General features: G+C 49.8%; 1 protein-coding gene across 8 annotated transcripts in view, besides 3 other annotated features; it reads right to left on the bottom strand.

Moving 5' to 3' along the window:
* The window catches only part of TCHP (trichoplein keratin filament binding), a 37,403-nt gene that overhangs the window by 9,926 nt on the left and 12,939 nt on the right, over nucleotides 1-14,538 (bottom strand). For 3 of the 8 annotated variants that reach the window (NM_001143852.2, XM_017020024.1, XM_047429668.1), the window contains exons 1-6: nucleotides 7,718-7,870; nucleotides 4,930-5,117; nucleotides 3,997-4,207; nucleotides 3,351-3,407; nucleotides 1,504-1,572; nucleotides 445-618 (exon numbers count right to left, since the gene is read on the bottom strand). In NM_001143852.2, coding sequence (NP_001137324.1) covers nucleotides 445-618; nucleotides 1,504-1,572; nucleotides 3,351-3,407; nucleotides 3,997-4,207; nucleotides 4,930-5,117 — 699 coding nt within the window. In that variant the 5' untranslated portion in view covers nucleotides 7,718-7,870. Of the gene's footprint in view, nucleotides 1-444; nucleotides 619-1,503; nucleotides 1,573-3,129; nucleotides 3,316-3,350; nucleotides 3,408-3,996; nucleotides 4,224-4,929; nucleotides 5,118-7,084; nucleotides 7,568-7,717; nucleotides 7,871-14,538 lie in introns of those variants that run through there. The other 5 variants (XM_011538836.3, NM_032300.5, XM_011538837.2 and 2 more) reach the window with 5 other exon arrangements.
* Nucleotides 6,466-7,306: an enhancer, noted in NCBI's record as "OCT4-NANOG-H3K27ac hESC enhancer chr12:110338643-110339483 (GRCh37/hg19 assembly coordinates)". NCBI's record gives its function as "activates a minimal SCP1, AML or CMV promoter by ChIP-STARR-seq in primed H9 embryonic stem cells {active_cell/tissue: H9 hESC(primed)}" and the evidence as "EXISTENCE:reporter gene assay evidence [ECO:0000049][PMID:30033119]".
* Nucleotides 7,307-8,147: an enhancer, noted in NCBI's record as "H3K27ac hESC enhancer chr12:110337802-110338642 (GRCh37/hg19 assembly coordinates)". NCBI's record gives its function as "activates a minimal SCP1, AML or CMV promoter by ChIP-STARR-seq in naive H9 embryonic stem cells {active_cell/tissue: H9 hESC(naive)}" and the evidence as "EXISTENCE:reporter gene assay evidence [ECO:0000049][PMID:30033119]".
* Nucleotides 7,540-7,649: a silencer, noted in NCBI's record as "silent region_4848". NCBI's record gives its function as "represses an Ori minimal core promoter by ATAC-STARR-seq in GM12878 lymphoblastoid cells {active_cell/tissue: GM12878}" and the evidence as "EXISTENCE:reporter gene assay evidence [ECO:0000049][PMID:35858748]".

The following is a 14,538-nucleotide window of genomic DNA, read 5'->3' as shown; positions in this document are numbered from 1 at the left end:
ATAGAAAGATCTCTTTCAAGGAAACTGTGCCATGTTCTCCAAAAACAGCCCCTGGACCAAAAACCCTCAGTTATGCCTCGAGACCCGAAACCTGCTCCCCACGGAGAGCTGGGTGCTAGACCACCCGATTAAATTGTGTCTACTCAGTGCACTGGAAAATCCAGATTCTAAGAAGGTTCTCCAACAGCAGGCCGCTAACCACCTCTAAGAGAACAGCTACTGGCTCCATGTCGTTAATGTTCTGGAATTCAGGCACGCAAACGAGGAGGATGGGAAAGCACAAGGCAGATGGGGATGCATGTGAGAGGGAGAACCCGGCTGCTGCCGCCCTTTGCAGAATCTCAGCCCTGCTATGGCCTCTTCTTAGGGCAGCCTCTCAAGTGCCCATCTCATGCTAACGAGCAGCTGTGGAGGAGGTCACGGCTGAGAGGGGCTTGTGCCCACCTCCACCTCCTTCAGCTTCAGCTCCTCCATCTGTTGCAGCAGTGCCTCGGCCTGGAGCTTGTCCTCCAGCTGCCTCCTCTCCTCTTCAGCTTTCATCCTTTCTAGCGCCTCCCTTCGGGCCCTTTCATATTCATTTTCATACCGTTTGTTCTCTTGCTCTGCGGTGGCTTCTTGCTACAAGGGACCAAATGAACACAGGTCAATATCTGTACCGTAAGCCAACAAAAACCTAGCTTCCTGCCGCCGTTCTGCAGGCCACAGGGCCCAGGCAGTTCCTGCCTGAATCCCAAATGACAACGCCCTCAGACGCCAAGTCAGGGAGGGACTCAATAATGTTGGGTTTCCTCCCCACTCAACAAAACACTTTCTAAAATGAACCAGGCAGCAAAGCGACCAGTGCACAGAGGTGTGGAAGCTTAACCCCAAAGGGGTTACAGTAAGCCAGGGCTGCGAGTTTACGATGCAGATTTCATCAAAAGAGAGACAAAAATGCCCTTAAAGACACACGTCCTAGCTGGACCCTGTGGCCCACGCCTGTAATCCCAGCACTTTGGGAGGCCGAGGTGGGAGAATCGTTTAAGGCCAGGAGGCCAGACCAGCCTGAGCAACAGAGCAAGACCCCATCTCTACAAAAATTAAAAAATTAGCTGGGCGCAGTGGTGCGTACCTGTGGTCCTAGCTACTCGGGAGGCTGAGTTAGGAGGACTGCTTGAGCCCAGCCAGTCGAGGCTGCAGTGAGCTGTGAGTCGCGCCACTGCACACCAGCCTGGGTGACAGAGCAAGACCCTGCCTCCAAAAGAAAAAAAGAAGACGCGTGCTGTATGTGCCACCTCCCAGCCCTGGTCACCTGGCCTTATTCTGCCCTGGGAATTATCACATAGGATTCTGGTATATGTAAGAGCAAACATTCAGTTTTCACATGTGTCAAGTAAACTAAGAAAAGAGTACACTACACTCCTTAACTGGAGTCACTGATGCTGAAAACGGTAAACGAATGCAAAGACGTGAACAGTCTCGCACAGCAGAATACGCGGCTATTCCCAGAGCCACATACCACACCTGTTTTTTTTCTTCTTTCTGCATTTCCCAAGAGTTTACGACATGCTTCTGGTGAAGGTCCAGCTCCATCTGAGGATGGAAGGGGGACGATGTGAATTTCCTCACCAGACAGATGGGCACTGTGGGGACAGTGTGCTCCTGCCCTCTGTGCCACCTGCGGGAACGTGGCCATGACTTCGCTTCATGGGGACTCAGTGGCACAGGCGTCTAGTAGAGAGCGTGGGGTGACTTCAACATGTATAGTGTGAATGCATGTCAATCAGAAGACCAAAGGACCAGGCACTCCTACACCAATCTTTTGAGCTGGTACAAAGTAACAGAGACTTCCCTCCCACTAGCCCTAGGGTTGGGCTGGACGCTGAAATGGAAATACAATTTCAAAGGCCACCTTGGGTTGATGTACTGCATGCCAGGCCCTGGGAGACAGCTGAGTGAGAAGACTCAACCCTGTGCCTGGCTCCCCGAAGTTTCCTCTGCAAAGCAGATGGACTACGTACTCCCTGTATCAAGTGATGCACCAGTAGGTGCAACAAGTTTAGCATTGTTAGTAAGAGATTTGAGCGCAGACAATCTCCTGGATTAGAAAATGGATCACAACATTCAATCCAAATCTTTTGTTTGGGAAACTGTTTATAAAATTAGCTGGATATGGTGGCGCCCACCTGTAGTCTCAGCTACTCGGGAGGCTGAGGTGGGAGGATCACTTGAGCCCAGGTTTGAGACCAGCCTGAGCAACACAGGGAGACCCTGTCTCTATAAAAAAGTTTTAAAATAATCTTTCCCAACTTACAGCTGTGAACATAGGCAATTAACTTGAATGTTCTGAATAAACTTTTCTGATTTAACGGCTCTGGATGATTCCACCGAAGCCAACAGGGCTAAGGAGTCCTCCCACAGATTAGTGCAAACTGCACAAAAGCACCAGATGTTCCATTATTTAGTGCCTGGCGATTTCTAAATGTAACTACGAATAACACGAAGGCACCAAATGTATACAAAAACTGTAAGTTGAAAATAAATGAATAACAGTGAGGGATGATCTCCCTGCAGCCAAATCTCCACTGAACAAGGCCACCAAGCCAAGAGGCCACCCCCTCCCCTGCCAGCCCAGTTCAGGCCTTCACCAACCCCCGGCTGGGCTGTCGCAGCACCCCTCCCTGTCGGCGGGCACATTGCTACCAGAGGAGTCTCTCTGAAATGCAGCTGGGATCCTGTATGCTGCCCCCAGCCCCTTTGGAGGAAGGTCACACAAGCTCTTCCGATGTCTGGCACCCTCTGCCTCGCCAGCGTCATTTCTTGGGGTTCTCCCTCACTATCTGACATCCTAGCCTCACCCAGACACTTTCAGCTCCCAGGGCTCGCTCTGTTCTCGAGTCTCAAGCCTGGTTCTCACAGTCACATCAACCTAGAACATCCTTTCCTCACCTCTACACACATACATCCCTTCAAACTCTTCCACCCCAGGAACTCCTCTGGGAAGCCTCCCCAACCCCTCCAGAGTTGAGTGCGCTGGCCCATGCTCATCCTCTCAGGCTGGCCCAGCACCCTGCATCCTGCCCTGTAATGAGCTCCCATGCTGGACACAAGCTAATGAGCAGAAACCATGTCTAATCTCCATGCCCGCACCTGGCAGACCAGGCAGCGGAGGTTCAATCAACATTTGTTCAACAACCGAATGAGCCGCTCAGCGCAGCCTGTGCCAGATCTTCTGCCTGGCGCTCTTTTCAGGTGGCTCAAGGTTCCCTCCTCTGTTTCAACCCGGTACAAGATACGTGTTCAAAAAAAAAAGTGTCTGGAAACATGATTTCATCTACTTAGATAAATCAATGGAGATCTCTGATTTTCACCTCTCGAAGTTTCGGGTTGTTCTTTTTCCAGTGTTCGTACAAAAGTTGTTCAGCAATCTATCAAGAAAACACAAAATGGAAAGCCTGATGTCATTTTTCAAATCCATTCACATTTTGGATGACACACAGTGGAAGTCAGCTCAGGCTATGAGTGCCTCCCTTCACACCGTCACTGCAACCACTGTTCAAACCCTCATGCTTCACATGCACAGCTCTGAGAACCACATGGCACTACCAAGTGACTCTTGCAATGATGACAAAAGGGGGCCAAAATCTGATGCTACACAGAGGTCCTATCTAGGGGGTCTCAAAATAATACAGCAGGCTGAAAAGCACAGATTAGGGCTCACTGTTTCACATAACTACTTTGGAAGGTAAAACAGACTAGTCCCAGATCTCTGTGGACCCACAGAACTGGAAGAAAGGAAAAGCACTCAGATGTAATGATTGAAGGGGCTAAAGAGACTACAGCTAACTGATCCAAAACCCAGTCCCTGCACAAGGACCTAAGCTCTTTTCCTGCTGGCTCTGGAGTTAACTGGCATCTCATCAGACCTGAGCACCCAGGAATGACCCTACATGTGCGACACACTCAGGCTGGGAACACTCCTGCTCCACAGCCTCCTGAAGCCCTCTGGGGAGTTACCAGTTTCCTCTGCTCTTCTTTGGCTGATTTCAGCTTCCCGTGCTGCTCCCGGATTCTTCTTTCCTGCAAGTTCATGCTCAGCCTCAGCTCCTCCAGTTCTCTGGCCAGCAGGTCCTGCTCCTCCTGCATGAGCTGCCTGAGCTTTTCCCGTCGGGCCTCCAGACTCCTCCTCTTCTCCTCCTTCATCTTCTCCCGCTGATAGGCATGCATGCTGGGTGAGAGGGGGCCTGCCTGAATCAATCATGCTACAGCCACAGGGAACGTGCTCTGCTCTGCTGTGTCGGTAAAAGAGGCTGAGGTAGATGTGTCATGACGACACAGGAATGTGTCCCCAGCCAAAGCAGAGACAGCAGGTCACAGAATAGTATGTGTAAGAGAAAATCTTGTTTTTTGCAAAAAGAAAATGTATAAATGTATAAATAATGTATATATTATCCATCACATAAATCCTACAGCATAGGTCTGCTGTAGCCCCACTTGATTGATGAGGAAACCAAAGCTCATACATTCAGCAAGAGACACGGTCAGGATTTCCATCTAGGTCTGACTTCAAAGCCTATGCTTTTGGCCTCCATGTTTTTACACGTATTTCTATAAAAGTAGCTTTGTGTGTGTATATTTAAGCACAAATACCAGTGGGAAACAGCATGGAAGGATATGTGCCAGACTGTTAACTGTGGCTGTCTCTGGGGATATGGGGTTACAACCAGGCTTCCAAATTCTATCATATGCTTCTGCATCATTTTATCTTTTTCAATGCCAATGTATGGCTGCACTGATGATCTTTTTTTCCATTTCCAGCTGGAAAAACATCACCATGCAGGTAATTCATACTGCCTGGCAAATCCTACGCTCCCTAAATCCTTAAGGCCTCATCCCCTGACCAGCAAGTGGTCCCCACTTCCATCCAATCGGCAGTTACCGCACAATTACCTCCGCTGGTAGGAGGTTTTAGAGCTCCATTCTGCCTGTTTGGAGCTGCAGATGTCAGACATCCTGAAGTAACGGCTGTTCTGCTCCCACTGCTGCCGAAGCCGGGCCTCCTGCTCTCGCTGTCGTGCTAGCTGCTGATTCAGGCGCTGCTGGCTGCACCAGTAGGACGGCAGCGTCGGGAGCGCCATCTGAGAACAGGAATGGGAGGAAAGTGAGCCACTGCAAATCCCAGGAACCCTCACCAGCTTGGCCTCATCCCTTTAACGAGTGGTCACCACCCCTTGGCTGCACAGTGAAATCAACTGGTGGAACTTTAAAACAAACAAACAAACAAAACCGTGTCTGAGCCCCACTCCAAACTAATTCAATCAAAAAACTTAGTAGGGCCCAGGCACCAGCATTTTTTAAAATGATCTGCCACTAGTGCTGCAAATCATCCTTTTAAATTTGCCGTGGCTCACGCCTGTAATCCCAGCACTTTGGGAGGCCAAGGTGGGCAGATCACGAGGTCAGGAGTTCGAGACCAGCTGCGCCAACATAGTGAAACCCCTGTCTCCACTAAAAATACAAAAAATTAGCCAGGCGTGCTGGTGGGCGTCTGTAATCCCAGCTCCTTGGGAGGCTGAGGCAGGAGAGTCACTTGAACCCAGGAGGTGGAGGTTGCAGTGAACCAAGATTGTCCCACTGCACTCCAGCCTAGGCGACAGTGCAAGACTCCATCTCAAAACACAACAAAACAAAACAAATAAACCTTAGCCAGACACAGTGGCTCATGCCTGTAATCCCAACACTTTGGGTGGCTGAGGCAGGAGGATCACTTGAGGCCGGGAGTTGGAGACCAGCCACATCATGAGACTCATCTCTATAAAAAATCAAAAATTAGCCAGGAGTGGTGGTGCGCCTGTAGTCCCAGCTACTCAGGAGGCTGAGGCAGGAGGATTGCTTGAGCCCAGGAGGTCACGGCTGTAGCGAGCCATGATAGCGCCACTGCACTCAGCCTGGGTGACAGTGAGACTCTGTCTCAAAAAAACAAAAACATAAAAAATTCTGGACTGCGTGCACCCAGCTGTGGGCCAGCCATCACCAGGAACACAACAGACAGACACAGGGATTGTCCTAAGATTGCTAGACTAGGCACATCGGGGGCATTTATGCTGTGCTTAAACAGAGACAATAATGTAAGGAACACATGTATGTGCCAAGCACTCAATACATATGACTTTTTTTCATTCTTACAATCACCTCGCTATTTGGCAGGTAAGGAAACTTACGTTGAAGAGGTAAAGTTGTTGTACCCGAGCGAGTTAGAGAAACGCCACAGTTTGAGACGAAATTAAGAGTCCTTTATTTAGCCAGTGCCCAAGAGACGGCTAATAAATTCTCTTGGCCCGAGGAAGGGGCTTGATTTTCCTTTATACTTTGGTTTAGGAAGGGGAGGGGAGCTCAGATGCAACAATTCTACATAAGTAAAAACATGCAAAAATTAAAAGGACAAAGAGTCACAGAGAAACAATTAAAAGACAAATGGTTACAGAGAAACAACAGTTCCAGGTGCAGGGGCTCTAAATCTTTCATAAAATGTTAGATATGGGTGCTCTGCCCGACACCAACTCAAGGTTTTATGGTGTTATCTTTTGAGCAAAATCCTGGGAACTTCGTACATTGCTTGTTTCAGTACCTTATCAGTTAATTGGACTCTTTGATATGTTGAGATTCTGCTTACACAAGTTAACTCCTTGAGGAAAGGGGTGGGTAAGGAGTCCTTGATGTCTTGTAAATGAGGGAACCAGATGGAGTTCATCCGGCTTTCTCAACTAAGGGAGAGCTAATTCATGTGGAAACAAGGCTAGGTGATTAAGGGGAAAAAAAGAGTCTAAAAGCAAGGTTAGTAAAAACAAGGTAAGGCATTAAAAAACAAGGTTAGTAAAAACAACGTTAAGCATTACAAAGTGATTTGCTCAGGATCACAGAGCCAGGAAGTAAAGGAGATAAACAAGCTGGGTTCCTAATTCATGTCCGTCTGAGACCAGAGCCCAGGCTCTCTCTGCTGCAAGGGGCTGCCTGTTGGGACCAACCTGCCCTGGCTCTGGCAGTCCCCGGGGAGGGGACTGATAATAACACTCGGAAGTATGTTGGGCTACCATGGAGGACAGACCTTTCATCTTGCAGATGAAGAAGCTGAGACCTAGAGAGAGGAATTGCCTGAGCAATGTAGGGATACAGCTGGAGCCTTGAAAGCAGAGAGCAGTCTCACTCCAGGCACCAATTCCCCTGACCCAAAAGCTGTCCTCAAGTGTAGGGTCGATGCAGTGCCTGGGTAGGAACGCCGGCTGAATGAGCGAAAAGGCCTGGTGCACGCCAAGAATCTCATTCTGGAGGTCCTCCAGTTTTGGGGGCAAACACTCTGCGTCTATGGTCCAAATGTAGCCGGCAGGCTGCTAACGTGTGACCTCGGTCTCGAGACCGTGGCAAGCTTCACATACTTTTTTCCCGCTCCCGTAAAGCCGCCAGTGGATCAGTCTTTGCACCAAGAGTTAAAAGTTTAAGATTCCCGTCCCGGATTGGCCACCCACAAGGTGGGCTGCTCCCCGAACACGTCGCATCCCTCTCTCGACCTGAACATGCACGTGCAACAAATGGGGTCACAGCGCGTGGGGAGCGCAGTGAGGACCCCGGAGGCGCCCTGAGCTCGCGCCCGCTGACTGCCGCCCCGGTTCCCGCCCGCGCGGGCCGCCTGCGGGCCCCCGCCCTAACGCCGGATCCGGCCTAGTCCAACCCTCCGACTCACATTTCTCTGAGGCTCGGAGTTTCCGAAGAGTCCCCCGGCCCGACTTCCCGCAGGCACGAAGCGGGCCGGCCAGTCCCCCGGTGTAATTCCCAGACGCGCTACAGCAACGCCGGCTGTTTCCTCCCTGTTTGCACCGGCAACGAGCCCGACGACGGAGCGTCGCAAGGGCCAAGCCTCCTTCAGCGCGTAGGGAGCCTGTGTTTTTCTCTGGTGCCCCGTCGTGGCCAGCGGGAGATAAATAGCAAACGTCGCTGCTCCTTGAAATAGGGAAGCATGGAGGCAAAGAATCCGTCCATGCACTACACGTATTTCAGGATGGTGGTTACCATCACGTGAAGGTGAAGGTGGAAACCAGGGGGAAGAGAATGTAAGTCAGTGGTCCTCAAACCTGGCTGCGCGTGAGAATCACCAGATACCAGCCTGGGCAACACAGAGGGACTCCTGTCTCTAAAAAATTTTTTAAACTTAACCGGGCATGGTGGGACTTGTGGTCCCAGCTACTCGGGAGACTGAGGCGGGAGGATCAGTTGAGCCCAGGAGATCGAGGCTGCCGTGAGCCATGACTGTGCCACTGCACTCCAGCCTGGGTGACAGAGCCAGACACTGTCTCAAAAAAAAGAAGAAAAAATCCAGATACCTTTAAAAAATCCAGATGCCCAAACCAAACCCCAAATCCCATCTGAGAGTATCAGTGTTTTCCAAAATTCCCCAGGTGTGTTCAATGTACAACTTGGGCAGAGGCCTGCTGGCATAAGTAGATGGAAGTTATTGGTAACTTTTTTATTTTTTTGAGACAGAGTCTTGCTCTGTCGCCAGGCTGGAGTGCAGTGGCGTGATCTCGATTCACTGCAACCTCCGCCTTACGGGTTCAAGCGATTACCCTGCCTCAGCCTACCGAGTAGCTGAGACTACAGGCGCACGCCACCACGCCCAGCTAATTTTTTGTATTTTAGTAGAGATGGGGTTTCACCATATTGGTCAGGATGGTCTCGATCTCCTGACCTCGTGATGCGCCTGCCTCAGGCTCCCAAAGTGCTAGGATTACAGGAGTGAGCCACTGCACCCGGCCGATAACTTTCTATTATAGTCTTATATTGGTGGTGAGTTCAAAAGTGTTCATTCTATTAGTATGTTTTATAACTCGTGTGCTACAAGTATTACATGCCAACTATTCCATTAAAAAGAAAATGAAGAAAAATACTTGTTTGTTCTCTTTTCTTTCATTTTCCCATTCTTTCATTTCTTCTTCCCTTCATTTCTCCATTCTTTATTCATCTCTGTTTTTCCTGGATGCAGCATCATGGCCTCAGCTGGGTTCAGTGGCTTACGCCTGTAATCCCAGCACTTTGGGAGGCCCAGGAGGGTGGATTACCTGAGGTCAGGAGTTGAAGACCAGCCTGGCCAACATGATGAAACCCCGTCTCTGCTAAAAATACAAAAATTAGCCGGGCATGATGGCAGATGCTTATACTCCCAGCTACTCGGGAGGCTGAGGCAGGAGAATCGCTTGAACCTGGGAGGCAGAGGTTGCAGTGAGCCAAGATTGCGCTGCTGCACTCCAGCCTGGGTGACAAAGTGAGACTCCACCTCCAAATTAAATAAATAAATGAATACATAAATAAATAAATAAAATTAGCAGGCTGTGGTGGTGCACACCTATAGTCCTAGCAACTTGGGAGGCTGAGGTGGGAGGATCACTTGAGCTCAGGACAAGGAGGCTGCAGTGAGCCGTGATCACACCATTGCACTCCAGCCTGAGTGACAGAGTGAGACCCTGTCTCAAAACATGGTCTCTACAGTCAGAACGCCCAGGTTTCAAGCTATACCATGCTGGTGTAGTCTTGGGCAGGTCACTTCATCTGTCTGTGCCTCAGCTTCCTAGTCCATGGAATGAGAGTAAAAATAGAGCAACTTTCAGGCCGGGCCTGGTGGCTCATGCCTGTAATCCCAGCACTTTGGGAGGCCAAGGCTGGCGGATCTCTTGAGGTCAGGAGCTTCAGACCAGCCTGGCCACATGGTGAAACCCCCGTCTCTACTAAAAATATAAAAATTAGCTGGGCGTGGTGGCAGGCACCTGTAGTCCCAGCTACTCGGGAGGCCGAGGCAGGAGAATCGCCTCAACCGAGGAGACGGGGGTTGCAGTGAGCCAAGATCATGCCACTGCACTCTAGCCTGGGCAACAGAGCAAGACTCTGTCTCAAAAAACAAAGCAAAACAAAAAATAGTGCAGCTTTCTAGGGTTGCCCGTGTGAGAATAAATGGAGCATGCCCAGGAGTAGAGCATCCAGTGCATCCCAGGTGAGCCCAAACTTGAGCCTTCCTTCACATCCCCCTTTAGTTGGCACCTGTTTAATCAGGGTCTGTCCCACTGCGTGCATAAGAGTCCTCAAGTTTCCCTCCCATTAATCCCTACCCCCTTGGGCAAATTCATGGCCACTCTTTCATGTTGTGTCCCCAGTGCAGAGGGGTGGCAGCAGCCCACTGCAGTCACTTAGCAGAGATGCCCACCCAACAAAGGAGACCAACACATAAATGTCTGTCGACAGGAACTTCATAAACACATGAATTGGACCAGGCGTGGTGGCTCACGCCTGTAATCCTAGTATTTTGGGAGGCTGAGGCAGGTGGATCATTTGAGGTCAGGAGTTCGATACCAGCCTGGCCAACGTGGCGAAACCTTGTCTCTACTAAAAATACAAAAATTAGCCAGGTGTGGTGGCATGCACTTGTAATCCCAGCTCGGGAGGCTGAGGCATGAGAATCACTTGAACCCAGGTGGCAGAGGTTGCAGTGAGCCGAGATCTGACCGCTGAACTCCAGCCTGGGCAACAGAGGGAGTCCCTGTCTCAAAAAAAAAAAAGAAAGAAAGAAAGAAAAGAAAAGAAAAAGAAATATGTGAGTTGGGGCAAGGTAAGGGAGACCTGATCCTGATTTTGTGCCTCTTGGGCAAGGCCTTTCCACTCTCTGGGCCTCAGTTTCCTCATCTGTATAATGACCAGATAAGCTCCACTAGCAGAACTTTAGGGCTTAGGGCTCGACCAGCATGCCGGAGGGCAACCATTCCTAAGTGGCCTGATCCTGGAAGCCTGAAGTCCCCAGATTACAGCCTCCATTCTCTTTTGCTGGCCAGACATCCTCACCGGCCCCCACAGTTCAACTCTGAACCTCTTGATTACACAGCTGCTGGCTGTCGCTATTAAGCAACTTTACAAGTGCCTTTTCCTTTGCTCCTCTTGGGCATTCTATGAGATATCTTATTGCCCCCATGTTAGAATTGCCTAAACTAAGCCTCGAAAAGGTGGCATGGCTTGCCTGAGGAGCCGCAGCTGATAGGTGGTTGAGCCATGATTTGAAACCAGTTCTGCCTGATCCCAGTGCCTAAGCCCTCTTGCTGCAACACAAGAGCAGGGATCATCGTGTTCCTTGCTGCATTCCCCATGCCATGCCTTGTATGTGGTAAGCACTCTATCTATCTATCTATATATCTATATCTATCTATATATATATTTGAGACAGAGTCTCACTCTATCACCCAGGCTGATGGAGTGCAGTGGTGCGAACTTGGCTCACTGCAGCCTCTGCCTCCCAGGTTCAAGCAATTCTCTTGCCTCAGCCTCTTAAGTAGCTGGGATTACAGGTGCCCGCCACCACGTCCGGCTAATTTTTGTATTTTTTTTCAGTAGAGTTGGGGTTTTGCCATGTTGCCCAGGCTGGTCTTGAACTCCTGACCTCAGGCATCAACCTCCCAAAGCGCTGGGATTACAGGCATGAACCACCATGCCCGGCCTCAATCAATATTTGTGTTGAGAATGAAAAAGTGAATGGATCCCCTATTTTGAGTACTTTCTTCTCCTCCAAAGGAAAAAGGAATCTATGGTGTTAAGAGAAAGCAAAAAGAAGAAAAGGAACGAGCATTTCTTGAACACCTGCTATGTGCCAGGTGCTTTGAGATATATTATCTCATTTAAGCCTCCCTCCAACCTGGGAGGAGTTTGTTCCTGCCCCCATTTTGCAGATGAGGGCGCTGAGGCTCAGAGAGGTGAATCAACTCTCTTGAGGTCACACAGCAAAGACTATAAAAGCCAGGATTTACAACAAACCTCTGAGACTGTGAATCCCTCTTCAGTGTGTTTTTCTGGGAGCTTGTGGCTTGCAAGTGTAGCTCTTAAAAGAGGCCTGCGGCCGGGCACAGTGGCTCACGCCTGTAATGCCAGCACTCTGGGAGGCCAAGGCGGATGGATCACTTGAGGTCAGGAGTTCGAGACCAGCCTGGGCAACATGGTGAAACCCCATCTCCACCAAAAATACAAAAATTAGCCAGGTGTGGTAGTGCGTGCCTGTAGTCCCAGCTACTCAGGAGACTGAAGCAAGAGAATCACTTGAACCTGGGAGGTAGAGGTTGCAGTGAGCCGAAATCATGCCACTGCACTCCAACCTGGGCAACAGAGTGAGACTCCATCTCAAAAAAAAGAGGCCTGCAAATGTGAACATACAAAGAATTTGGCAATATGAAATATTCAATGACAGGTCAATGACTACGGCGTGCAGGGGGCTGAGAGGGAAAGCCCTGGTAGGAACCCGCAGGTTGGAGCTGCTCCAGGACTTGTGATTTTAGGTATCCTAGCATGGGAGAAGAAAACAAGAACAGGGAGAGGGGGTGACACTATGGGAGCCGCTCTCCATTAGATGAAACATGACAGTACTGGAAGCCGCACAATGCCATCATTTAATTAGCAGGTACCGTTGTGAAGGTATGACATTTCAACACCAACCACTCCAGCTTCTTGCTTCACACCCCACCCCACCTGAAGACAAGACCGCAGAAGTAGACAGGTGGGCTCAAAGACCCTGGGGCTACTAGGCTGCTTCTCAGAGCCCCAGCTTTGTGTTTTAAAAAAATAACAATGGGGTCAGGTGAGGTCATTCACACCTGTAATCCCAACACTTTGTTTGGGAGGCCGAGGAGGATCGCTTGAACCCAGGCATTTAAGACCAGCCTGGCAATATAGAGAGACCCCCCACCCCATCTCCACCCAAATTTTTTTTTTTATTAATCGGGTGTGATGGTGCACACCTGTGGTCCCAGCTACCTGGGACGTGGAAGTGGGAGGATTGCCTGAGCCTGGGAAGTCGAGGTTGCAGTGAGCCATCATTGAGCCACTGCACTGCAGCCAGGGTGAGAGAATGAGACACTGTCTCTGAAAAAAAAAAAAAAAAAAAAGTAATTCTTGAACCTTGAACCATACCATTACTTCAGCTGGGGAACTGTAGTGAATTCCTGTAATTTTATGTTGCCTGGGCAACCATTTTGAATATTTTAGACTTTCTCATATAAAAAGCAGGTCTCAGTCAACCCTTGACATAGTCCATTCTCCACCTCCTCCCAGTTCCTCAAGGTGGTCAACCCAGGTATCTGTCTTATGCAACTGCTGACCCCCTCCCTATGGGACAGCTGAAGACAAACTACTCGACTCACCCCCCGACCCCACCCCCTGCCTGGATGGCACAGTCATGCTGCAGTGACCAGTCCTAGTCACAGTGTGACCTCCTGGAACACATGCCCACTAGCTCTAAACCCAACAAGTAGAACTCCCTGAGGGAAACCTGCTAGGGGAATGCCCTGGACTCCAACAAAGTCTTTTTTTTTTTTTTTTTTTTTTTGGGACAGAGTTTCGCTCTTGTTGCCCAGGCTGGAGTGCAATGGCGCGATCTTGGCTCACTGCAACCTCCGCCTCCTGGGTTTAAGCGATTCTCCTGCCTCAGCCTCCCAAATACCTGGGATTACATACATGCGCCACTACGCCCAACTAATTTTGTATTTTTAGTAGAGATGGGGTTTCTCCATGTTGGTCAGGCTGGTATTGAACTTCTGACCTCAGGTGATCTGCCCACCTCGGCCTCCCAAAGTGCTGGGATTACAGCCATGAGCCACTGCACCCGGCCTTTTTTTTCTTTTTTTTTTTTGAGACGGAGTCTTGCTCTGTTGCCCAGGCTGGAGTGCAGTGGCACAATCTTGGTGGCTCACTGCAAGCTCGGCTTCCCGGGTTCACACCATTCTCCTGCCTCAGCCTCCTCAGTAGCTGGGATTACAGGTGCCCACCACCACGCCCGGCTAATTTTTTTGTATTTTTTAGTAGAGATAGGGTTTCACCGTGTTAACCAGGATGGTCTTGAACTCCTGATCTCGTGATCCGCCCGCCTCGGCCTCCCAAAGTGCTGAGATTACATTTTTTTTTTTTTTTAAGACTGAGTCTCACTCTGTTGCCCAGGCTAGAGTACAGTGGTGTAATCTTGGCTCACTGCAACCTCCACCTCGTGGGTTCAAGCGATTCTCCTGCTTCAGCCTCCCTGAGTAGCTGAGATTATAGGCACCTGCCACCATGCCTGGCTAATGTTTGTATTTTTAGTAGAGATGGCATTTCACCATAGTGGCCAGGCTGGTCTTGAACTTCTGACCTCAAGTAATCCACGTGCCTCAACCTCCCAAAGTCCTGGAATTACAGGCATGAGCCACCGTGCCTGGCCTCCAATAAAGTCTTTAGCCCATATTTCTCTCTCTCTCTGTCCCCATTGGTTAAGCACACATGTCCCAAATAGCTTCCCATTTCCATTGGCTATGCAAACCCTGCTCGCTGCTCTCTGGATCTGTGAGTAATAAACTGCTTCTGCTATTTTTGTTGAGTTGCTCCCTCTGTGTTTCACTCGACCAACACACCTGAACTCAATGCTCACCCCTCCCGGTCAGGCTCTCCTAGAGAGTGGCTGTCTTGTTTGGAATAAACTGGATATAGGTGAAACAAGAGCCACAAGGGCATCAGCCG

The sequence above is a fragment of the Homo sapiens genome, chromosome 12 (assembly GCF_000001405.40).
Source record: "Homo sapiens chromosome 12, GRCh38.p14 Primary Assembly".
NCBI classification, from domain to species: domain Eukaryota; kingdom Metazoa; phylum Chordata; class Mammalia; order Primates; family Hominidae; genus Homo; species Homo sapiens.
Note: the sequence above shows the minus strand (reverse complement) of the source record. Positions and strands in the feature narration are given on the sequence as shown.